This window comes from Homo sapiens, chromosome 16 (assembly GCF_000001405.40).
Source record: "Homo sapiens chromosome 16, GRCh38.p14 Primary Assembly".
In the NCBI taxonomy this organism is placed as follows: Eukaryota; Metazoa; Chordata; class Mammalia; order Primates; family Hominidae; genus Homo; species Homo sapiens.
In genome coordinates, this window is record NC_000016.10 from 67,010,674 (window position 1) to 67,033,458 (window position 22,785).

Genomic DNA, 22,785 nt, shown 5'->3' on the forward strand with positions numbered 1-22,785 from the left:
TCTCGATCTCCTGACCTCGTGATCCACCCACCTCGGCCTCCCAAAGTGCTGGGATTACAGGCGTGAGCTACCGCGCCCAGCCCATTTTAACTATTTTTAAATGTACAGTTCAATATCATTAAGTACATTCACATCATTGCACAACCATCACCACTATTCTGTCTTTAGAACTTTTTCATCATTTAAACTGAAACTCTGTACCCATTCAACAATGACTTGCTGTTACCCCCTCTTCCTAGCCCCCGGTAACCCCTATTCTGCTTTCTGTCTCTATGAACTTGACTCTTCCAGGTGCCTGATATAAGTACAGTAATGCAGTATTTGTCCTTTTGTGTCTGGCTTATTTCACTTCACATGATGTCTTCAAGTTTCATCCATGCTGTAGCATCTATCAGAATTTCCTTCCATTTTAAGGCTGGATAATATTCCATCGCAAGTATATAACACATTTTGTTTATCCATCCATCCAGTGATGGGCATTTGGGTTCTTTCCACCTTTAGGCTATTGTGAATAATGCTGCTATGAACACTGGCATAGTGTCCCACAGTATTTTTGTCCCAAACTAGTGTTGATTAGGCCCTTTATTCCCAGAGGTTCCTGAGTCTCTGGGGCAAATGGAAGCTGCACAGATCTGTGGGATGAGGCACATCTAATTCCCCATACCCCAGGATCTAACCCCCAAAGCAAAGGGATGGTGGAGGAGGGCGGAAGCCCCTCCCAAGCAAACATTAATCCTCACAACAACTGTGGATCTTATTATCCCCATTTTACAGATGAAGAAACTGAGGCATTGAGACATTAAAAAGCCTTGCCCAAGGGCCTGAGCTGGTGGAGGCAGAGCAGGAGTTGGATCCAGGCCTGTCTGAGGCATCCTGCCACCTCCATCCAGACCTGGAGCAATCCCTGAGAAGGGTGGCTACCACCAGAGATGTGGCAGCTCTGGTCTCAGGAAGCATAGCCGGAGGATGTCCCAGGCAACCAAACAGCCATTCATCAGTAAGGAGCCAGAGTGAGGGCTGCTAGTTCAGCCCCCGGAAGGTGGTCCAGGGGCAGCCAGTGCAGAACTCAGCAGGAGCTCAGTTCCAACTGAGCCTGATTTCACTCCAGTGTCCACAAGGGACATCCTGACCTGGAGGTCCTCGGCTACTCACCCTGGGGCCTGCTGGCACAGCCCAGGAGCTAGCCCAGGCCTGCCTCTGATGGTTCCCCCTGATTTCTCCCCTGACAAAGATTCTCTCCTTGACCAAACTCTACTCAGACTTTCCTGAACTTTTTCAGCTAGGCCTGACTTTTTAGCAAGATTCCTTCTAAGTCAGTTTAACCAGAGCCCCCCACCTTCGATATCTGATCATCTTCCATAATCTAATTAAGTTCCTTAGCCTCGGCCAGGCACGGTGGCTCAGGCCTGTAATCCCAGCACTTTGGGAGGCAGAGGCACGCAGACCACTTGAGCTCGGAAGTTCGAGACCAGCCTGGCCAACATGGTGAAACCCCATTCTACTAAAAATACAAAAATTAGCCGGATGTGGTGGTGGGCGCCTGTAATCACAGCTACTTGAGAGGCTGAGGCAGAAGAATCACTTGAACTCAGGAGGTGGAGGTTGCAGTGAGCTGAAATCGTGCCACTGCACTCCAGCCTGGGTGACAGAGCAAGACTCTGCCTCAAAAATATAAAAAATAAAAGTTCTTTAGCCTCTATTATCCCCAAGGTGATGTCTGGTCACCCTGGCCTGCCTGCAACAAGAATCCTATTGGATGGGCTTAGCCACAATTCCCCCCTTTATCTCTGATATTTCATCTTAGTAATTTTCCATCCACTGACCCCACCTTGCTCCTTGGCTATAAATTCTCACTTGTCCATGCTGTATTCAGAGTTGAGCCCAATCTCTGTCCCCAGCTGCCTGACTGCAAAACCCCACTGTGGCAGTCCCTATGCCTATTTCTTTTTATTTCTTTTTTCTTTTTTTTTTTTTTTTTTTTGGAAACAGGGTCTCCTCTGTTGCCCAGGCTGAAGTGCAGTGGTGCCATCACAGCTCACTGCAGCCTCAAACTCCTGGGCTCAAGCAATCCTCTCACGTCAGCCTCCCAAATAGCTGGGACCACAGACAGCCACCACCAGCCTTGGCTAATTTTTTTTTAATTTTTGGGCCTGACACGGTGGCTCATACCTGTAATCCCAGCACTTTGGGAGGCTGAGGCAAGAGGACTGCTTGAGCCCAGGAGTTTGAGACCAACCTGGGCAACACTGCAAGACCCCATCCCTACAAAAAATATTAATTAAAAAAATTAGCCAGGTATGGTGGCACATGCCTGTAGTCCCAGCTACTCAAGAGGCTGAGGTGGGAGAATCGCTTGAGCCCAGAAGGCCGAGGCTTCAGTGAGCTATGATCATCACACCACTGCACTCCAGCCTGGGTGACAGAGTGAGACCCTCTCTACCGCCTTGGCCTCCATAAGTGCTGGAATTACAGGCACAAGCTAACTGCTCGGCCCCTATGCCTATTTCGATGCTCCTGAATAAAGTCTGCTTTACTGAGCTTTAATAAGGACCATGAATGATTTTTCTTGAACGCCCCTCCTCATGCTTTCTCACATGGGTCTGTGGGGAGGGCAGCTGCCTCTAATGGCCACCTGCCCAGGGCCCTCCTCCCCCAACTGGAGGAAGTGCAGCTGAGCAGGAGCCAGGGCTTAGTCGGGTCCAAGCTGGCTGTGGCAGATGCGACAATCATAAAGGGCTCTGAGGAAACCCTAGGATCCTCCATAGGAATCCAAGCCTGGGAGAACCCCAGTGGGCAGCCTGAATGCTGGGTTGGCCCCTGCCTTCCACAGCCCCGGCTCCACACCCTCCCCATACACCCAGGAAGGTGTCCCTCTTCTCGTCAGCTCCTCCCTGGGTTACATTGCTGGATGACAGAGGCGGGAGGGCTACCTACTACTGCCCCATCGTCCCACCTTGTCTTCCTGCCCCCACTCAGGTCCTCCCACGGCCACTTGGAGTCTCTCCTGAAGCTGCTGCCAGGCCCCATCCCGCGTGGATCGGTGCGCAGAACAGACTGGATCTTGGTGAAAGCCCGAGGACACTTCTGAGTCTTGCCCCAGCCGCCCTCCCCACCGCCGGGTTTCATCCACCCGCCCGCGCCACCGCGGGTACGAAAGAGTGCGGGCGCTAAGCTCATGCAGGCATAGTGCACACAGGAGCCCCCTGCCAGCCGGGCCGGGCCGGGCCGCCCACCTGGGGCTGAGCCTGGCTCCTGGCTCCGGATGCAGCGCCCCAGCTTCTCCCTCGCCACGCCCCCACCTTCCACCCGCGAAGCAGCAATTACCCGCCCAGGCGGCTGGGAAAGGGCCAATTAGCGCAGGAGACGCGGCCCCTCTGCGGGGCCCCTGCTGACCGCAGCCCACGCAGCGCTGCCTCCGCCGCGGGCCCCCAGCCTCCCGCCGCTCGCCCGCCTGCCACAGCCCTCCCTGCCGGGCCGACAGCGCTGGCTGCCTGGGAGTCCCGGGGGACGCGCCGTCCGGCCTCCCGCCAACTGCAGTCACGGATCCAGCCGCCTGGCGCCAGCCCAGAGCCGGGGCGGACGTGCGGGCGCCGGGAGCTGAATCTCGCCTCCGCTGGGTGGTGGGGGCTAGTGGGCTGCGCTCCACTGAGAGGGCTTCCGCGCCCCCGACAGCCTGCGCTTTGGCGCCCGCCAGCAGTCTCCAGGCGGGGGCGGCCCGGCCCAAGCCTTCTTGCCTTCTCATGGCCCTCCTTGCTTCTTCCGGCCCTCCAAGGCCCGGTTCTGGGCTGGCCGAGCTGGAGCAGTTCCCCACTGGTGGTTACGGCAGAGCCAGGCTTTGGAAACCCACGGCCGGTGCTGGATCGTGCCCCGCGACAGGCACGTAGGCAGGATACGGGGTGGGCAGCACAGGGACACAAGCACTCATTACTGACAGTGAATGCATGAACTTCCTCCCCTGGGTCCCTCCCCTGCACAACCTGACTTACCCACCTAGAGGCTTTGGGAGACCCAAGAGGGATGGGTCCTACCCTCCAGGAGCCTGCAGGCTGCATGGGCAGAAGATCCAGGAGCTTGGCTAGGACCCCAAGCTAAAGAAAGCCCCGAGGTCCAGGGAGGGAGGCATCGGGTGAAAAAAAAAGGAGGGGGGCGCTGGAAGAGGGAGTTGTAGGGGACAGATGCCACCCGTCAAGGCTTTCCCTTCCCCCAAAGAACCCCCTTCCAGCTGAAACTGGTCACACTGGGGCCCAGGAGTAAGGGATAAAGTGGGCCTGAGCCCAGTACATCCTCTGCAGGAGGCTGAAGTTTCTGAAACAAGAAGTGGGAGAGGGTTCAGTAGGAAGGTCCACAAGTGAGGTCGACCAAAGAGATCCTGCTGTTTCCCCATGAGTGCCACAAGGGACTGGGGTGGAAGGGCTGAGGCTGGACCAGTCCTGGATGCAGTGGCCTTTTCTGTGTGTTCTTCCTCTGCTCCCTCAGGTCTGGAGGGCTGGGAGCCTGCTGCGTGCTCTGGAACTTTACTCAGGTCTTGTTGAGCCACTTTCTTTGGGAAAGTGTGGACCATGTCTCTTAAAGAACCAGAATTGCTTCTTTCCACCAAGGTCATTAACTGTGTGGAGAGGGAGAGAGCCCCTGTCAGAAATTGGGGGATGCAGACTGAACAATGAAGGAACATAGCAACAATGAAGGAACATAGGGACAATGACACCACCTTGAGTCCAGTGGAATGAGGTGCGGCTGCATTAAAGAATGAGGAAAGGGACAGAGACAGGTGTAAGAGACGATGGAACAATCAGCCAAGAAAGTCAGGGGGTTGGCTGGGCGCGGTGGCTCACACCTGTAATCGCCGCACTTTGGGAGGCTGTGGCGGGCAGATGGCTTAAGCCCAGGAGTTCGAGACCAGCCTGAACAACATGGCAAAACCCCATCTCTACGAAAAATGCAAAAATTAGCCAGGCATGGTGGCATGCCCATGCAGTCTCAGCTACTTGGGAAGCTGAGGTGGGAGGATGGCTTGAGCCTGGCAGGCAGAAGTTGCAGTGAGACAAGATTTTTTAAAAGGCCAGGCATGGTGGCTCATGCCTGTAGTCCCAGCACTTTAGGAGGCCGAGGCAGGCAGATCACCTGAGGTCAGGAGTTCTGGACCAGCCTGGCCAACATGGTAAAACCCTGTCTCTACTAAAAATATAAAAATTAGCCAGGTGTGGTGGCACACACCTGTAATCCCAGCTACTCAGGAGGCTGAGGCACAAGAATCGCTTGAGCCTGGGAGGCGGAGGTTGCCAAGATTGTGCCACTGCACTCCAGCCTGGGCGACAGAGTGAGACCCTATCAAAAAAAAAAAAAAAAAAGTCAGGGATGGACGAAAGAGGCAGAAGCTGGTGGACACACAGCCAGACAGACAAATGGAAAGAGAGCCAGGGCAGTGCTGGGGCAGTTCAGACAAGAGAGGGGGCATGCCTGGACACTCAGAAGGTAGCCATGGGCAGGGATCTGTTTTTCATCACAGTTGTCTGACCACTGAGACACCTTGGGGTGGGAGGCTGATGGAAAGGGAGGGCTTCCTGGAGGAGCCTTTGAAAGGACCTATAGGGAATAGTGGAGGGAGTGAAGGTGGGAGTGGAGGGGAAGCTGTCTCAGCCAGAGGGCACAGCAGGAGCAAAGGCCTGGAGGCAGGAATTGGCTTGTTCAGTCCCAGCAGCTCTATGTCAGTCAGCATGGCCCCCACAGAAAGACTGAAAGAGGAAATGGCCCAGAACTGGAGCACCAGGCCTGTAAGCTGGGAGGGAGCATGGACTCTATGCTGAGGCACTAGGGAGCCATGGGAGGGGCATGTCTTGGTCAGATTCACCTTCCAGGAGGGTCTTTGAGGTTACCTAGTACAGAGACACTGGAGGAAGAGAGAGTGGAAGTGGGCAGACCAGGGGATGGTGGCAGAGAACTAGACAGTGGGTCCTTCGTGGAATCGAGCAAGCAAGTTCCCAAAGTAGATGGTTAGGACCTAGTGACACATAAGGGCAGGTGTACTGTTTTTCCAAGGAACTTTAGGCCAAGGCAGGAGGTCAGCTCTGATCACTCACCTCCCCCACTCACAGGATGGCCCCTGGTGTACTCTGGCCTAGCACACTCCCACCCAGCCAGGTCTGGGAACTCACATGGCCCCTCCCCAGACCTGGGAGACCTTGGCATCTACCCACTGGGCCCAGGAAAAGCCCCAAGAGGTGTCCAGTCCAGGGTGGAGGCACAAACAGACCTCCCACCCCACAGAAAGCTTGTTAAGACAGCACTCTCAACTCCCACCACCAGCCGTCTGTGCAATGATGACTCCACTGCCATGAGGGGTTAGGCTTGGGTCTGTTTGGGAAGCCAGTAGGTAGGGGAGGAGGGCCCAGATGAGCCCAGAAAGAACTCAGAGGCTGAGATCACATGGCCGACAGAGCAGGGTTCACCACGCCTTTTAGTCAGAATTTAGGGAGATGTGTGTTCCTGTCTGGGCCTGTTCTTTTGTGTGTCCTCAGGCAGACCACTTGCCTCCCTGGGCCAGACTTTCTTTGGGAACAGTCCCTGTTTTAGGACAGGACTCTGGCCTCAGCCCCCTGTAGCCATGGTCCAGGACCCCTGTCCACTCCAAGCCCTTTCAGCCACAGGAGCTGCTGGCAGAGCACATTGGTGACCTCACCAAGTAGCTGCTGGGTGATCATCATGGATCCCCCGCCGACAAAGAGCAAGAACCCTTTTGAGGGGGAGCCTGAAGGTGAAAGAAAAGGCCTTTCAGGAAATTAGCACCAGTGGCAGGAAAATTCATCAAAAGCTGGAGGAGGCGCCTGTGGCCGATTCACGTCTCTTGCCAAAGAGGCAGCTCCTCTGACCTGGGGGAAGGGCTGGTAGCTTCCGGGGCCTTCTAGAGACCCCACATCCTTGGGCCTGTTGCTGGGCCTCTCAGCACCTGGCAGGGGTGCCACCATGGATTTGCTGCTCCCAAATCACAGGATTCTGCAGTGCTAGGAAAGGCTGCTGATGAGTAGGGGGTCTTGGGTTTTAATGTAACTCTTCCCTCTGCTGTGTGATCTCAGACACTCAACTGGCTTCTCTGATACTCCCTGCCAGGAGAAATCCTAACCTGCCTGGCCTCTAGGCGACCAATATATCCACAATACTCAGTATATCTGAGACAAGAATATTTTTCTGAAGAGTGAGGATGCAACTATACCCAAACAATCATTGGTAGTGGGAGGTCTCACGTGAGAAGCAGGGAGGCAGCCTGAATGTTGAACCCATTATTCTGGTAGCAGCCCCACCTGCCAGCATCCAGGTATGGCCGACAGAATAGCTGTTGCAGCACACACCTCCAGGGGGCACCATTTCCATGGTTTACAGTCTGAATGAGGCCTGAATGTAACCTGAGCTTCATGACTGCCTCCTCTGGGCTTGGTACCCACAGGCACACTCACACTACACACGTGCCTCAGAGAATGCTCTGATTGGTTGATCACGATCACCACCTAACCTAAAGCATCCACATTGGTCAGGCTTTGGAGCCCGCACTTCTGCTCTAGCTATGCATGGCTCCCTTCAGCTCCCAGGGCAGGTCCAGTCCCAGGTCCAGCCAGATGATTTAGTGCTGATAGAAGCAGGATCTTTTGAAAGAGCTATGGATGTAGCAGGCCCCAGAGGCTCAGGAAGTCCTTTCCAGGCCATGCCCTGGTTCTGGCACTGCTACTGCCCCTGCTCCACTACTAAAGGAGGCAGGCCAGGCCATGCATGGTGGCTCACGCCTGTAATTCCAGCACTTTGGGAGGCCAAGGTGGGCAGATCTCCTGAGGTCAGGAGTTCAAGACTAGCCTGGCCAACATGGTGAAACCCCGTCTCTACTAAAAATACAAAAAATTAGCTGGGCATGGTGGTGCTCGCCTGTAATCCCATCTACTCGGGGGGCTGAGACAGGAGAATCGCTTGAAACGTTGAAACCGGGAGGCAGAGGTTGCAATGAGCAAGATCGCACCACTGCACTCCAGCCTGGGTGACAGAGTAGGACTCCATCTCAAAAAAAAAAAAAAAAAGAATAAAGAAAAAAGAAAAGGAGGCAGGCCACAGGCATTTACTTTTTTTTTTTTTTTTTTTTGAGACGGAATCTTGCTCTGTCGCCCAGGCTGGAGTGCGGTGGAACGATCTCGGCTCACTGCAGCCTCCACCTCCCAGGTTTAAGCTATTCTCGTGCCTCAGCCTCCCAAGTAGCTGGGATTACAGGCATAAGCCACCACACCCAGCTGATTTTTGTATTTTTAGTAGAGATGGGGTCTCGCCATGTTGGCCAGGTTGGTCTAGAACTCCTGACCTCAGATGACCCACCTGCCTTGGCCTCCGAAAGTGCTGGGCTTACAGGTGTGAGCCACTGCACCTGGTTTCAGGCACCCTTTCAGCTCATTGTATGGCATTTTGGCTAGACCTTATGTGAACTCAAATTGTTATCCTGTGCTTCCCTTACTGGCAACGTTTACAGATGGCTTTGTATCAACCAAAGCGTTGTACAACTCATAGCATTTCAGAGCTAGAAGGGACCATAAACAGTGTCATAGCCACCGTTCTTTGAACACTTACAACTTTGTGCTAGACACTAACCCAGGTACCTTCTGATGTTTTTGCCTGCACGGTACAGCCATTCCTTTTCCCGTGACACCACCCTGTCCTCGGCAATTCACCGTGTCCACACCACAGCTCAGGGATGACCAGATAACCCAGACTTGGACTATTAAGCTCAATCTCAAGATTTTTGTAGAAACATCAGGAAAGAGAATGGGTACCACTTGAGGGTGAGTCAGCATGTGAAGGAAGGTAAAACGGAAAACTAGCCAGGTACAGTGGCATGTGCCTGCAGTCCCAGCTACTCGGGAGGCTGAGACGGGAGGATTGCTTGAGCCCAGGAGTTCTGGGCTGTAATTCACTATGTTGATTAGGTGTCTGCACTAAGTGTGGCATCGATATGGTGATCTCCTAGGAACGAGGGACCACCAGGTAGCCTAAGGAGGGGTGAACCAGCCCAGGTCGAAAATGGAGCAGGTCAAAACTCCTGTGCTAATCAGTAGTGGGATCGTGCCTGTGAGTAGCTGTTGCACTCCAGCCTGGGCAATATAGCAAGACCTCATCTCCAAAAAAAAAAAAAAAAAAAGGAATAGTGAAATGAAATAGTTCACACTGAGAAACAGCCTTGAACGAATAAAATAAAATAAAATAGGCTGGGCGCTGTGGCTCACACCTGTAATCCCAGCACTTTGGGAGGCCGAGGAAGGCGGATCACTTGAGGCCAGGAGTTCAAGACCAACCTGAGCAGCAATATAGCAAGACACCCCCACCTCTAAAGAAAAAAAAAATTAAAGAGTTAAGTGACTGCATTTCTTCAACTGCAGGACTTCTCTGGGATCTCTCTCTCTCTGAGTCTACCTGGCTATATGCCCTTGAATGAGTCCAGTCACCTGTTCTGAGTCTCAATTTCAAGAGCTACAAAATAAGACAGTAATTATTTCCCTCTTTATCCTTTATTTATTTATTTAATTTTTTATTTTTTATTTTTTGAGATGGAGTCTTGCTCTGTCGCCCAGGCTGGAGTGCAGTGGCACAATCTCGGCTCACTGCAAGCTCCGCCTCCCGGGTTCACGCCATTCTCCTGCCTCAGCCTCCCGAGTAGCTGTGACTACAGGCACCCGCCACTACGCCTGGCTAATTTTTGTATTGTTAGTAGAGACGGGGTTTCACTGTGTTAGCCAGGATGGTCTCCATCTCCTGACCTCGTGATCCACCCGCCTTGGCCTCCCAAAGTGCTGGGATTACAGGCGTGAGCCACCGCGCCCGGCATTTTTTTTTTTTTTTTTTTTTGAGATGGTGTCTCGCTGTGTCACCCAGGCTGGAGTGCAGTGGCACGATCTTGGCTCACTGCAACCTCTGCCTCCTGGGGTCAAGCGATTCTACCGCCTCAGCCTCCAGAGTAGCTGGGACTACAGGCATGTGCCACGCCCAGCTATTTTTTTGTATTTTTAGTAGAGACAGGGTTTCACCGTGTTAGCCAGGATGGTCTCAATCTCCTGACCTCGTGATCCCCCCACCTCGGCCTCCCAAAGTGTTGGGATTACAGATGTGAGTCACCATGCCCGGCCTTCCCTCTTTATCTTGAAGAAATTAAGGAGAGGCCAGCGAGAGAGTGTTTGGAAAATTGCTTTATGCAGTGGCTTGTGCCTGTAACCCCAGCACTTTCGGAGGCCAAGGTGGTAAGATTACTTGTGCCCAGAAGTTCGAGACCAGCCTGAGCAACATAACAAGACCCCGTCTCTGGAAGAAAGGAAGGAAGGAAGGAAGGAAGGAAGCAAGCAAGCAAGCATGGATTAGCCAGGTGGAGTGGTGTGTGCCTGTGGTCTCAGCTATTGTGAGACTGAGGCAGGAGGATCACTTGAGCCCAGGAGTTTGAGGCTGCAGCGAGCAATGATGCCACCACTGCACCCCAGCCTGGCTAACAGAATGTGACTCTATATTGAAAAAAGAAAAAGTAACAATTAGCCAGACGTGGTGGTGTGCACTTGTAGTCCCAACTACTCAGGAGGCTGAGATGAGGATCGCCTGAGCCCAGGAGTTGGAAACTGCAATCAGCTAGGATCATGCCACTGCACTTGACTCAGGAAGACCCTGTCAAAAAAAAAAAAAAAGAAGAAAAAGAAAAGAAAGAAAGAAGAGAGAGAGAGAGAAAGAGGAAGAAAGAAAGAAAGAGAGAAAGAAATTCACTGAAGGGAAACCTGGGTTGTTCATCTTTGTGTCCATCTCCGTCACCAACACTACCTAAACTGCAAAGCATGCTGGGAGCTCCCACTGGGCAGGAGGGAGCAAGATGAAGTTAGCATAAGCCGGGACTAGGGAAGCTATCAAGCCTGTGGGATGCCTTTGAGGTAGTTGAGTCCAGTCTTGTCTCATAGGCATTGGTGAGGGCACGCTGAGGGGCAATCATTCTGCCCAGCATAGTTTAGAAAGCCTTGTCAGAGGCCTCTGAATTACATTTTTTTTTTTTTTTTTTTTCTGAGACAGTGTCTCACTCCATTGCCCAGGCTGGAATGCAGTGGCACGATCTCAGCTCACTGCAACCTCCACCTCCCAGGTTCAAGTGATTCTCCTGCCTTAGCCTCCCAAGTAGCTGGGATTACAGGCATGTGCCACCACCCCCAGCTAATTTTTGTATTTTTAGTAGAGACAGGGTTTCACCATGTTCGCCAGGCTGGTCTCAAACTCCCGACCTCGGGTGATCTGCCCGCCTTGTCCTCCCAAAGTACTGAGATTACAGGTGTGAGCCACTGCCCCGGCTCGAACTACTCTTTTTTTTTTTTTTTTTTTTAAAGGCGCTTCACTCTTGTTGCCAAGGCTGGAGTGCAATGGCGCGATCTCAGCTCACTGCAACCTCCGCCTCCCGGGTTCAAGTGATTCTCCTGCCTCAGCCTCCCGAGTAGCTGGGATTAGAGGCATGCGCCACCACACCCGGCTAATTTTGTGTTTTTAGTAGAGACAGGGTGTCTCCATGTTGGTCAGGCTGGTCTCGAACTCCCAACCTCAGGTAATCTGCCCGCCTCGGCCTCCCAAAGTGCTAGGATTACAGGCATGTGCCACCGCGTGTGGAATTATTATTATTATTATTATTTTTAGACAGGGTCTGACTCTGTTGCCTAGGCTGAAGAGCTGCAGTGGCACAATCTCAGCTCACTGCAGCCTCGACCTCCCCACCTCAGATGATCCTTCCACCTCAGCCTCCTGGGTAGCTGGGACTACAGGCTTGCACCACCATACCCAGCTAATTTTTTGTATCTTTTTGTAGAGATGGGGTTTCATCATGCTGCCCAAACTGGCCTCGAGCTCCTGGGCTCAAGCCATTCACCTGTCTTGGCCTCCCAAAGTGCTGGGCTTACAGGCATGAGCCACTGAGCCTGGCCTCTCTAAACTACACTTAATGAAGAGTGTGAATTGGTCTGGCCAAGAAAGGGGAGAAAGACAAGCTAGACAGAGGGAAGTTAGCCAGGCCTGGAGCAGACCAAAGCTGAATTCCTTGCCTATTTACTCAGTAGTGTCATCTCAAGGAAAAGAACGATTGTCTGCTTTCTAAATTGCCCTTTTTGTGTTCCTGGAGGGGAGGCAGGCTGGTGAGGTGTCCGTGGGCTAGTAATTATTTCTGCTTATTTACAAGGTAATATTACAGCATGATGAGAAAGCCTGCCTGTTTTGATGGTTCCAAGCTTGGAAAGTTTGGGAAAGAATCCAAGAACATGGCAGGTTATCAAGGCGTTATCAGCTGGGACACAAAAGGAGAGAAGGTAAAAGAGGCATTTGGATTCCAGAGTCAATAATGAGCCAGAAGTGAGTGTTGAATTATTCAACCTCCTGTATTGATCCATTGATCTCTATCTGCAGCTCTTGGTTTATTCTTGGTTGGCATTTCCTGTGTCTCAGACACTGATAAGAGAAATGGAAGGAGGAGGAGGAACAGATTCTTAAGACTCAAGAAAAGAGAAGAGGTGATGTCAAAGAGAAATTTGGCAACATACATCAGGAATCTTAAAATGTCCATATCTTTTGACCTAGTGGTTCTACTTTTGGAAATTGATCCTAAAAATACTATCCAGAACTTTTTTTTTTTTTTTTTTTTTGAGGCAGAGTCTCACTCTGTTGCTTGCCCAGGCTGGAGTGCAGTGGCGCGATCTTGGCTCACTGCAAGCTCCGCCTCCCGGGTTCACGCCATTCTCCTGCCTCAGCCTCCTGAGTAGCTGGGACTACAGGCGCCTGCCACTATGCCCGGCTAATTTTTTGCATTTTTAGTAGAGGCAGGGTTTCACTGTGTTAGCCAGGATGGTCTCCATCTCCTGACCTCATGATCCGCCCACCTCGGGCTCCCAAAGTGCTGGGATTACAGGCGTGAGCCACTGCACCCGGCCTGTATGTCCTAAATGTTCTACAAAAAAAGTACAAGTTTTAAATAACTTTAAAAAGTTTTAAGGGTGAGGGGAGAGACCCTCATATGAAGGCTTCACAGTAAAGTAAACAAATTAGTGTAGAACTAAATCCTCCTAGAATCCAGGGGACTGCTATGTCCCAGGTGGGCTGACCATCTCCTTGGCCATAGCATGGAGCCAAATGAATAAATGGATGCTGTGGGGCAGTCATTCCATGGAGGACAATCAGAGGCCGGTGAACATATTTAAAGAAGAAGTACAGCCTGGACAACATAGTGAGACCCCATCTCTAAAAAAAAATTTTTTTTTATTAATTACCCAAGCATGGTGGCACCTGTAGTCCCAGCTACTTGCTACTTGCTACTCAGGAGGCTGAGGTGGGAGGATTGCTTGACCCCAGGAGGTCAAGGCTGCAGTAAGCCATGATTGCACCACTGCACTCCAGCCTGGGTGAAACAGGAAGACCCTGCCCCAAAAGAGAAAGAAAGAAGAAAGATGAGTTTTCCCAACAGAGAAACAGGAGGAAGTCATGGTATGGGCACGTAGGGAATGGAAACAGGCCAGTATGGCTGGATTGCAGGGTGCCATGGGGAGAAACGATGGGAGATAGTGTTGGAAAGTAGGGATTGTCAGGGGGTCATAAATGCTAGGCTGAGGGCCTTTGTCTTTCTGCCCCAAGTTTCTTCAATCTTGGGGGAGGGGTCTTAAGCAAAAGGGTGGTGTGGTTAGAGCTCATCCCAGCTCTCATCACATTATATTATTATTATTACTACCATTATTATTGTTATTACCATTATTTTTATTCCCTAGCCCCTTAGTCTAGTCTGTTTCCCATCACTTGTCAGAAACTAGGAGAGCAGGGGAGGGGAAGGGGAGCAGTCCAAGGCAGCCCTCTAAGATCATCAGCCAGGCTTCCTGACCCCAGCTTGGCCCTCTTCCCACCACAGTAGGCTCAGTCCTGCCATCCCCAGGCACCCAGACAAACTCCTCCACCCCCAACCCCCATGACAAAGAGGCTCATTTGGAGCCCGGGCAAGATTTGCAAACGTCAAACTTATAATTACAAGGATGAAATCATCTGGTTCCTTTTAAGCAAACGGGTTTATTGATCCCAACACTAAAGAAATGCTATTCTGGGGAAACTTGCTCCTCTCTGCTTTCCTTTCCCTATGGGATGGCTGAGCTGGGGGAGGGTGGCTAGAGGGCTCAGAAGGGGGAGATGCCCCTGGGAGGGAGGGGAGATTCTCTGGGCCCAAGGGTGGATTTTACGGTATATAAATTATATCTCAAAAAGAAAAAAATTCTTTAGGGCCCAGGAAACTGCCACACTTGGGCAGATGACACCCTCATCCTGAATTAAGGCCCATTGCCTTCTAAAAACTAGAAGCTGAGTGGAGCCAGGGTTTTAGGCAATGTGCCAGCCACTAATTTTCCTTGTCTCCCACTCCTCTCAAGTCTCATTTGTGGCTCCAGATCCTATTTCAGCTTCAAGATGGTACAATATTTTCTCAGTAACTGAAGGGAAACTATTTCCTTAGAAAAAATGCATCAGAGGCTCAGAGACTTCCTCTGTGAGGAGAGGCAAAGGTGGGTGGCTGCTGACACCAGACCTGGATAAAACCATCCTTTCTGCTGGGCCTGCAGAGGCAGGACATCTAGACTTTGACCTTCCAAGCCAAGAAGGGACAAACAGGCTCAGAGATAGGAATGCACAGTCCTCAAGGGCAGACCCACATCCTGCCACAAGGCCCAAAATAGAACCCCTTTCTTCAACCTGTGGGGACCCTTCTAGAACATGGTGGGGTGCTCCCAGAGGAATAACCCCAGACATAGCCTTCTATGAGTTTGCAGTTCAGTGAGGGCAGCAGGCAGGACTTTTGGTATCTCCACTAGGTCTCAGAGTAGAATGATTAAAATCACCACCCTGGGGTCACTTAACCCCTGTGAATCTCCGTTGGCCCATCTGTAGAATAGGATCAATAATACTAAACTTACAGGGTTGTGGTGAGGAAGGAATGAAGATGATGTATCCCAATGCTTAGCTAGTTTCTTTAGAGTCGGGGGAGGGTCTCACTCTGTTGCCTAGGATGGCCTCAAACTCCTGGCCTCAAGTGATCCTCCCACTTCCACTTCCCAAACTACTGAGATTACAGGTGTGCACCACCATGCCCAGCCCCCATTTTGTTATTTCAAATGGATCAGGGTCTCGTCACTGTCCTTTTTTACTTTTACTTTTTTTTTTTTTTTTTTGAGGCAGAGTCTTGCTCTGTCACCCAGGCTGGAGTGCAGTGGTGCAATCTCGGCTCACTGAAACCTCTGCCTCCCGGGTTCAAGTGATTCTCCTGTCTCAGCCTCCAGAGTGGCTGGGATTACAGGCACACGCTGCCACGCACAGCTAATTTTTTGTATTTCCGTGGAGACCGGGTTTCACTGTGTTGCCCAGGCTGGTCTCGAGCTCCTGAGCTCAGGCAATCCACCCGCCTCAGCCTCCCAAAGTGCTAGGATTACAGACGTGAACCATCGCTCCTGGCCTTATTTACTTTTTCAAAGTCTGTTTCCTCATCTCTCAGGAGACAGAAGACCTGACTTAGAAGATGGTTGTGTGGGCCGGGCGCGGTGGCTCACGCCTGTAATCCCAGCACTTTGGGAGGCCAAGGCGGGCAGATTGCCTGAGGTTGGGAGTTCGAGACTAGCCTGCCCTTCTCTACTAAAAATACAAAAATTAGCTGGGCGTGGTGGCAGGCGCCTGTAATCCCAGCTACTCAGGAAGCTGAGGCAGGAGAATCGGTTAAACCCGGGAGGCAGAGGTTGCAGTGAGCCGAGATTGCACCATTGCACTCCAGCCTGGGCAACAGAGTGAGACTCCGTCTCAAAAAAAAAAAAGAAAGTGGTTGTGTGAATTAACTGTGATAAGGTGCATGAAGGCACCCTGAACAGAGCTTCACAGTTGCACTAGGCAAGTGAGGGTTCCTGCGCTCTCCTCAGCTTCATTGTGTATTATCTACTTACCCACCCAAGATCAGCTTTAGGAGCCTGCAGGAGCAGCCACCCACCTAGGAAGTTAGGGAGATACTCAAGAGGAGGCCCTTGGTTGGCTTGAATCCTTACGAAAGGAAGATTCCAGATGACCGGACTTCAGATAATTCAGTCAGGTTTTGGGACGGTGGGGGCAGATGTTTCTTGGCACAGAAAAGACACCTCTAAGCCTCCATGAGTGGGCCTTAGTAGAGCTGGATCTTAGCAAACCCCCTTAGCAAACACCCATAGCATGGTGTCTGGGCCAACCCATACCCAACTCAACAGCTGCCAAAGCTGTTAGGAGCACAGACTTAAGTGTACCTTACATGGGTGAAAATTTCCTTTATAAATTTCCTTTAATTCTGTTTTTTTAAATAAGTGAAAAAAAATTAACAACCAAAAAGGCATATAGAGGTCAGCCGAGGAGATGGCCTCCTTCAGCCTGTGGCTTATTTCCCGGTCATCCTGGCTGTTGGATGCCAGACTACGACGAGTGTGGGTTACCCTGTGGCCTGGAGTTGCCCAAGGCTGTCTGTGGGGCTGCTGTTCTGGGTCTGCTTGGCAGGCTTTGCTGTCCCTTTCCCTTAGGACATCGTTCCTCCCCTCCTTGAGGCTGACAATGAGAGCGCCCTGCCCTGCTCTGCACTCCCACCCCTCCAGGTCTAGCTCCCTTGACCCTGACCTTTTCCTTGCCTAAGCTCATGGCCATCAAGGCCATTCTAGAGATCTTTCAATTTTTATTTATTCCACATTTCCCATGGCAGAAACAATTATTGCTAGAGTCTTTGGCCAAGATCAACTTGGAGGTCTGTGAGCCCTCCTTGGACCCATTGTGGAGCAAGAGTGCTTCCTCATGGATTTTTTTTCCCCCCGAGACGGAGTTATGCTCTTGTTCCCCAGGCTGGGGTGCAATGGCACGATCTTGGCTCACCGCAACCTCTGCCTCCCAGGTTCAACCAATTCTCCTGCCTCAGCTTCCGAGTAGCTGTTTGAGACGGAGTCTTGCTCTGTGGCCCAGGCTGCAGTGCAGTGGCACCGTCTTGGCTCACTACAACCTCCGCCTCCCAGGTTCAAGCGATTCTCCTGCCTCAGCCTCCCGAGTAGCTGAGACTACAGGCGTGTGCCACCACACCCCGCTAATTTTTGTACTTTAGTAGAGATGGGGTTTTGCCATGTTGACCAGACCGGCCTCGAGCTCCTGATCTCAGGTGATCAGCCTGCCTCGGCCTCCCAAAGTGCTGGGATTAGGCCAGGCGCAGTGGCTCATGCCTGTAATCCCAGTACTTTGGGAGGCCGAGGCGGGCAGATCACCTGAGGTCAGGAGTTCGAGACCAGCCTGACCAACATGGCGAAACCCCGTCTCTACTAAAAATACAAAAAAATTAGCTGGGCGTGGTGGTGGGTGCCTGTAATTCCAAATACTCGGGAGACAGAGGCAGAAGAATCACTTGAACCCAGGAGGCGGAGGTTGCAGTGAGCCGAGATCGCGCCATTGCACTCCAGCCTGGGCGACAGAGCGAGGCTCTGTTTAAAAAAAAAAAAAAAAAAAAAAAAAAAAGAGGGCTGGGATTACGGGTATGAGCTACAGTGCCCGGCCACAGGACTAACTTTGAATCAAACTCTGCCATAAATCCCATGTCAGACTTTCTCCAGTTTGGGCTAAACAACTTCCCTAGAATTTATGGATCTTATTTTTTGCAGCTGATTGCACATTGAGTAAGTATATGGACTGGCAATCGGTTACATTCTTAACTCAGCTTGTTCTTCTTTAGAAACTTAAATTTATTGGGCTCCCACTGTGTGCTAGACCCACATAAAGGTTCTCACGCTAACACTGCAAACCTAGGAGTGTCTGCATTTTGGAAATAAGGAAACTGAGGTTTAGTGGTCCAATTCTTATCTAAGGCCCCAGCCAGCAGGTAGTGTAGCTGAGTGGGATCCCATCTAAGACCCATCTGACTCCAAAAGCCACGACCTTTCCACCATGACTCGGTTGGATTCTTTGGTCCGTTTCCACCTCAGTCTTCAACGTGCAGAGCCTACACCCCTGCCGGTCGGTTTAGGGACGAAAAGTCCCCAAGGACTTAGGTTTCCTCGCGTTCAAGTGACAATCTGGGGTTACTCCGCGCACCTGGGGAACCCAGAAGTTCCAGATGACCGAGGAAGGGCGGTAGAAAAGGCCTGCGCTGGCTACTCCCGTCTGCTAAAGGCCAGGCGGATCCCCCAACGACAGCTCCACGCCGAGTGGCCGCGGGCGAGCAGGGGGAAAAGGGCCCTGATGCGGAAGGAGCCCCGGGGCGCCACAGCCAGGCCGCTCCGCCAGCGGGCGGGTGGCGCATGCGCGGCGTGGGCCGCGGAGTTGTGAATGGTGCGTCTTGTTTGCCGGAGTTGGAGGCGGGCGGGCGCGCGAGGAGGAGGGGTGGGGCCGGCGGGGGCGGGGTGGGCGGTGAGAGGAAGTGGCGGCGGCGGCGGCGGCGGCGGCCGGGGGCGGTGAGCGCTGGGGCTGCGCGGGCGGCAGGCAACGGCTGAGGCGGCGGCGGCGGCGGCGGCGGCGTGGGTTGGGCTCGAGCGGGCGGCGGCGCCTCAGACTCCCCGGAACGGGAGCCCACGCGGGCGGGCGCCTGAAACAAAGGGAAGCGGGCGTCCGGGCGCCGCGGGTGGGCGGTCAGTCGGTCAGCGCGGAGCCAGCCAGCGGGTGCCCGCGCAAGCCCCGAGCGCGGCCGGCCGGCGCGGCCTCAGGGCGGGAAGATGCCGCGCGTCGTGCCCGACCAGAGAAGCAAGTTCGAGAACGAGGAGTTTTTTAGGAAGCTGAGCCGCGAGTGTGAGGTGAGGCAGGCGGGCGGGCGGCTAGGAGGCCGCAGCGCGCCCCGAGTGGGCCCGGGCGGAGAAAAGTTTGGGCGGCACGGTCCCCGGGAGTCCCGGTCGGTGCGCCCGCGGAGGGGCAATCTCGCCGGGGCGGCCATCGCCCGCAGCCTCTGCTTGCCCTTATCGGCGCTGCGCTGGGAGGGCGGGCGCGCGGGCGGCGCCGCGGATTTGGCTCCTGATTTCGGGCCGTCTTGCCTTGCAGATTAAGTACACGGGCTTCAGGGACCGGCCCCACGAGGAACGCCAGGCACGCTTCCAGAACGCCTGCCGCGACGGCCGCTCGGAAATCGTAAGTCGGCTGGCCCGGGGCGCGCGCGGGTCACTTGTTGCGCGGGGCCGCGGCGGCCCAGGCCGGTTCCGGACGGCGGCGCGGCTGCTGCGGCTCCCGGAACTGAGTGGGCGCCGTCTCACTTCCTACTCGGGATTCAAAATGCGAAACCAGATGCCGCGGGCCGGTACTCGCGGGGAGACGCTTTTCCTGGGGCTCGCCGCGGTGGCGCGTGTCGGCCAACGGAGCACCGCGAGTGGAGCTCGAACCCGAGCCAGACTAAACAAGCGAAGGGCATTGTTTAGGCGGCGACACCGAAGAAGGGTTCAGGGTATTTGTAGCAAGCAAACCCCCATTCGGAAAAAGAAGTGGAGCTTCATTCAAGGTCGGCGATAGTTTGTTTCTTAGAAGGTAGATCTGTCGGTAATTCTCTGTGTCAAGCGGTCTCACTACCAGATCGCCGAGTAGAAATCTTTCCTCCAGTTATTTATTCTAATAGAGAGGGGAGGGGGGGGAAAAGGCCCTAAAAATGTCATTTTCTTAGAATGTTAAGCTTCAGGAGAATCAGAAAGAAACCATTATCCCCATGTCCTGAGTAGGGCTGCTGTTCCTAAAAACTGCACAGATGGGCAAAACCCACGGTTGATCTCGAGGTCCTTGTTTTAGGAGGCAGATTTAGTGCGTCTTCACCAGACCTTGGGTTGAAAAAAAAAATCCAAGGGTCCTAGTTCCTCTCATCTTTTTGGTTTGCCTTGTTGGAGGTGCTGATGAGGAGGGAGTGGTAGGAAGAAACCAAGAAAAGAGGTTGATTATTACTATTTTTTTGAGGTAGAGTCTTGCTCTGTTGCCCAGGCTGGAGTACAGTGGCTCGATCTCGGGTCACTGCAACCTTCGCCTCCTGGGTTCAAGCGATTTTCCTGCCTCAGCCTCCTGAGTAGCTAGGATTACAGGTGCCTGCCACCACGCCCGGCTAATTTTTGCATTTTTAGTAGAGACGGGGTTTCACCTTGTTGGCCAAGCTGGCCTCCTGACCTCAAGTGATCCGCCCTCCTCGACCTCCCAGAGTGCTGGGATTACAGGCGTGAGCCACTGCGTCTGGCCTGATTATTTTTTAAAAAGTTGAAGCACTGTCTAATGGAATGCTGTTACTCTCTGCTCGGTGACTTGGACTCACTGCATTGTTAGAGGCTTGAAGCTAGGTGCGATTTGAATTTGGGTTAACAGTAGGAAGACATTGGAAATTTACTTCTCCCACCCCCTTTATAAAACCAGTTTATTTTTATTCAGATATAATTCATATGTCATAAAATTCTCCCTTTACATCACTGAACTCAAATTTATTTTTAAAGAATATTTTGATATTTTAAGTGAAAGCTTTTTAGAGTTGTAATAGTGAGAAGATACTGGTTAAATTTATCAGGAGCTCCTGAATATTTGGTCATTAGTGCATGTTATGAAAGAGAGTCTCAAGCTTTTAGCCCACTTGCAAATTTCTTGAGTAATTGTAGTATTTATATGATTGAAGTGCATAAGACATACTTTTAGGTTTTGGCACTGAGTGGTATAATAAAAGAATTCATTAGCTGGTGCGATGATCGTGTCATCCTTTGCCTGGGTTACCTTTTGCAAAGGGAAGGTGGTATACCTGACGATAGAATTTCCTGGAGGTAAAGGATGCAAGTATAAAAGATAAGTTACAAAGTACTTGTACTCTCACTGTTTGCTTTTTTGTTTTGAGACGGAGTCTCGCTCTGTTACCCAGGCTGGAAGCACAGCAGCATGATCTTGGCTCGCTGCAACCTTCGCCTCCTGGGTTAAAGCGATTCTCCTGCCTCAGCCTCCTGAGTAGCTGGGATTACAGGCACACACCACCACGCCCGGCTAATTTTTTTGTATTTTTAGTAGAGACGGGGTTTCACCATCTTGGCCAGGCTTGTTTTGAACTCCTGACCTTAAGTAATCCTCCCACCTCGGCCTTCCAAAGTGCTGGGATTACAGGTGTGAGCCACCGCGTCTGGTCTTGTTTCGTTTTTTTTTTTTAAGAGAGAGGTCTTGCTGTGTGGCCTAGGCTGGGGTGCAGTGGCTGTTCACAGGCACAATCATGAGGCACTACAGCCTCAAACTTCTGGGCTCAAGCGATCCTCTTGCCTCAGCCTCCCAATAGCTGGGACTACAGGCTCGGCGTCACCATACGCAGCCCCATGTGTTGTATTATCATCACTATCTTTGAAAGCTGAATTTTTTTGGAAATTTGGTGAATCATAGCTAGTAGGGTGTTTTCTGTCATCTCAGACTTTGCTGAATGGAATTATGAATTCAACCCATAGGATATCTGAAATGCTGTAATATTATAGTAGTAGTACAGGTGGTTAGTGTTTGTCATGAATTTATTTCCAGGATGAATTAGACATTCTAGACCTTCCCCGCTTCCAAATAATCTGATCCTCACCTGAGCCCGGGAGGTCGAGGCTGCAGTTAGCCATGATCGTACCACTGCACTCCAGCCTGGGTGACAGAGTGAGACCCGGTCTCCAAAAATAAAACAAGTATCTGATTCGACACATTTTACAAGTTTTAAATTTCTGAGAAGTATTAAAGGTTAAAGAAGGTAGATTGAATGCTGTGTGAGGTTTGCACTTAAGACGGCTCATGTCTTATTTTGTTAAATAATGTAACTATTGGTATTTGGAGAGGAATTTCACGTTTCCTAGTTTTCTCTCTTTCTAGTTTCCCTCCTTTAATTCAGTGTTAACCCACATTTAATTACAGGATCCTTAGCTCCTAGAGGGTAGAGACCTCATTAATTTTGTATAAACCCCTCTGGATACAGCTATTTTTCACAATACCTTTTATATCAGAGGTACTTGATTATTTGAATTTAGAGGCTGCTTAATTTAATGCCTGAAATTTATCTCATGACTTATGAACAGGCTGGGTTTCTTCCTATTTGGCTGTGGAAAAAGGCATTATTTTGCCTGTTTTGACAGCAGCCATAAATGGCAAGGATATCCATAGTTCTCAAAACTATTCCCAACCTTTCTCCTGCCCCAGTTGTCCTCTTCTTATTTGGAACATCTTCTTGATGTATCAGTGAGGTTAATGAAGAATTCATTTTGCTGTTGCCCAGGCTGGAGTGCAGTGGCATGATCTTGGCTCAGTGCAACCTCCGTCCCCCATGTTCAAGTGATTGTCTTGACCCAGCCTCCTGAGTAGCTGGAATTACAGGCGTATACCACCATGCCCAGCTAATTTTTGTATTTTTAGTAGAGACGGAGTTTCACCATGTTTGCCAGGCTGGTCTCAAACTCCTGACCTCAGGTGATCCACCGACCTCGGCCTCCCAAAGTGCTGGGATTACAGGCGTGAGCCACCACTCCCAGCCTCATTTTGCATTTAGATGTGAAATAATTTAAGGGCTGTGTTGATCATCTCTCTTTAACTATAAAACTCAATCAGCCTCCTTATTTTATGCCAATTGAGTTTTTAACTGTAAAACCCAATCAGCATTAAATAAAAGTGAACACAGGTCGAAGAATCTGTAGTAGAATCTGATTTATTCTTTTTTGAGACTGGATCTTACTCTGTCACTCTGGCTGGAGTGCAGTGGTGCCATCTCCGTTCACTGCAACCTCCACCTCCTGCTTCAGCCTCCTGACTTGCTGGGAT

At 51.6% G+C, this 22,785-nt stretch overlaps 1 protein-coding gene and 1 pseudogene across 6 annotated transcripts in view, besides 8 other annotated features; both read left to right on the forward strand.

Annotated features, from left to right (window-relative positions):
• Window positions 2,617–3,118: an enhancer, noted in NCBI's record as "H3K4me1 hESC enhancer chr16:67047193-67047694 (GRCh37/hg19 assembly coordinates)". NCBI's record gives its function as "activates a minimal SCP1, AML or CMV promoter by ChIP-STARR-seq in naive H9 embryonic stem cells {active_cell/tissue: H9 hESC(naive)}" and the evidence as "EXISTENCE:reporter gene assay evidence [ECO:0000049][PMID:30033119]".
• Window positions 3,083–3,622: a silencer, noted in NCBI's record as "silent region_7574". NCBI's record gives its function as "represses an Ori minimal core promoter by ATAC-STARR-seq in GM12878 lymphoblastoid cells {active_cell/tissue: GM12878}" and the evidence as "EXISTENCE:reporter gene assay evidence [ECO:0000049][PMID:35858748]".
• Window positions 3,119–3,618: an enhancer, noted in NCBI's record as "H3K4me1 hESC enhancer chr16:67047695-67048194 (GRCh37/hg19 assembly coordinates)". NCBI's record gives its function as "activates a minimal SCP1, AML or CMV promoter by ChIP-STARR-seq in naive H9 embryonic stem cells {active_cell/tissue: H9 hESC(naive)}" and the evidence as "EXISTENCE:reporter gene assay evidence [ECO:0000049][PMID:30033119]".
• Window positions 7,216–7,265: a silencer, noted in NCBI's record as "silent region_7575". NCBI's record gives its function as "represses an Ori minimal core promoter by ATAC-STARR-seq in GM12878 lymphoblastoid cells {active_cell/tissue: GM12878}" and the evidence as "EXISTENCE:reporter gene assay evidence [ECO:0000049][PMID:35858748]".
• Window positions 8,846–9,144, forward strand: RN7SL543P (RNA, 7SL, cytoplasmic 543, pseudogene; annotated as a pseudogene).
• Window positions 17,739–17,878: an enhancer, noted in NCBI's record as "active region_10951". NCBI's record gives its function as "activates an Ori minimal core promoter by ATAC-STARR-seq in GM12878 lymphoblastoid cells {active_cell/tissue: GM12878}" and the evidence as "EXISTENCE:reporter gene assay evidence [ECO:0000049][PMID:35858748]".
• Window positions 18,439–18,628: a silencer, noted in NCBI's record as "silent region_7576". NCBI's record gives its function as "represses an Ori minimal core promoter by ATAC-STARR-seq in GM12878 lymphoblastoid cells {active_cell/tissue: GM12878}" and the evidence as "EXISTENCE:reporter gene assay evidence [ECO:0000049][PMID:35858748]".
• The window catches only part of CBFB (core-binding factor subunit beta), a 71,910-nt gene continuing 67,600 nt past the window's right edge, over window positions 18,476–22,785 (forward strand). For all 6 annotated transcript variants that reach the window (NM_001755.3, NM_022845.3, NM_001368710.1 and 3 more), the window contains exons 1-2: window positions 18,476–18,812; window positions 19,054–19,140. In NM_001755.3, coding sequence (NP_001746.1) covers window positions 18,735–18,812; window positions 19,054–19,140 — 165 coding nt within the window. In that variant the 5' untranslated portion in view covers window positions 18,476–18,734. The remainder of the gene's footprint in view (window positions 18,813–19,053; window positions 19,141–22,785) is intronic.
• Window positions 18,719–18,958: a silencer, noted in NCBI's record as "silent region_7577". NCBI's record gives its function as "represses an Ori minimal core promoter by ATAC-STARR-seq in GM12878 lymphoblastoid cells {active_cell/tissue: GM12878}" and the evidence as "EXISTENCE:reporter gene assay evidence [ECO:0000049][PMID:35858748]".
• Window positions 19,209–19,258: a silencer, noted in NCBI's record as "silent region_7578". NCBI's record gives its function as "represses an Ori minimal core promoter by ATAC-STARR-seq in GM12878 lymphoblastoid cells {active_cell/tissue: GM12878}" and the evidence as "EXISTENCE:reporter gene assay evidence [ECO:0000049][PMID:35858748]".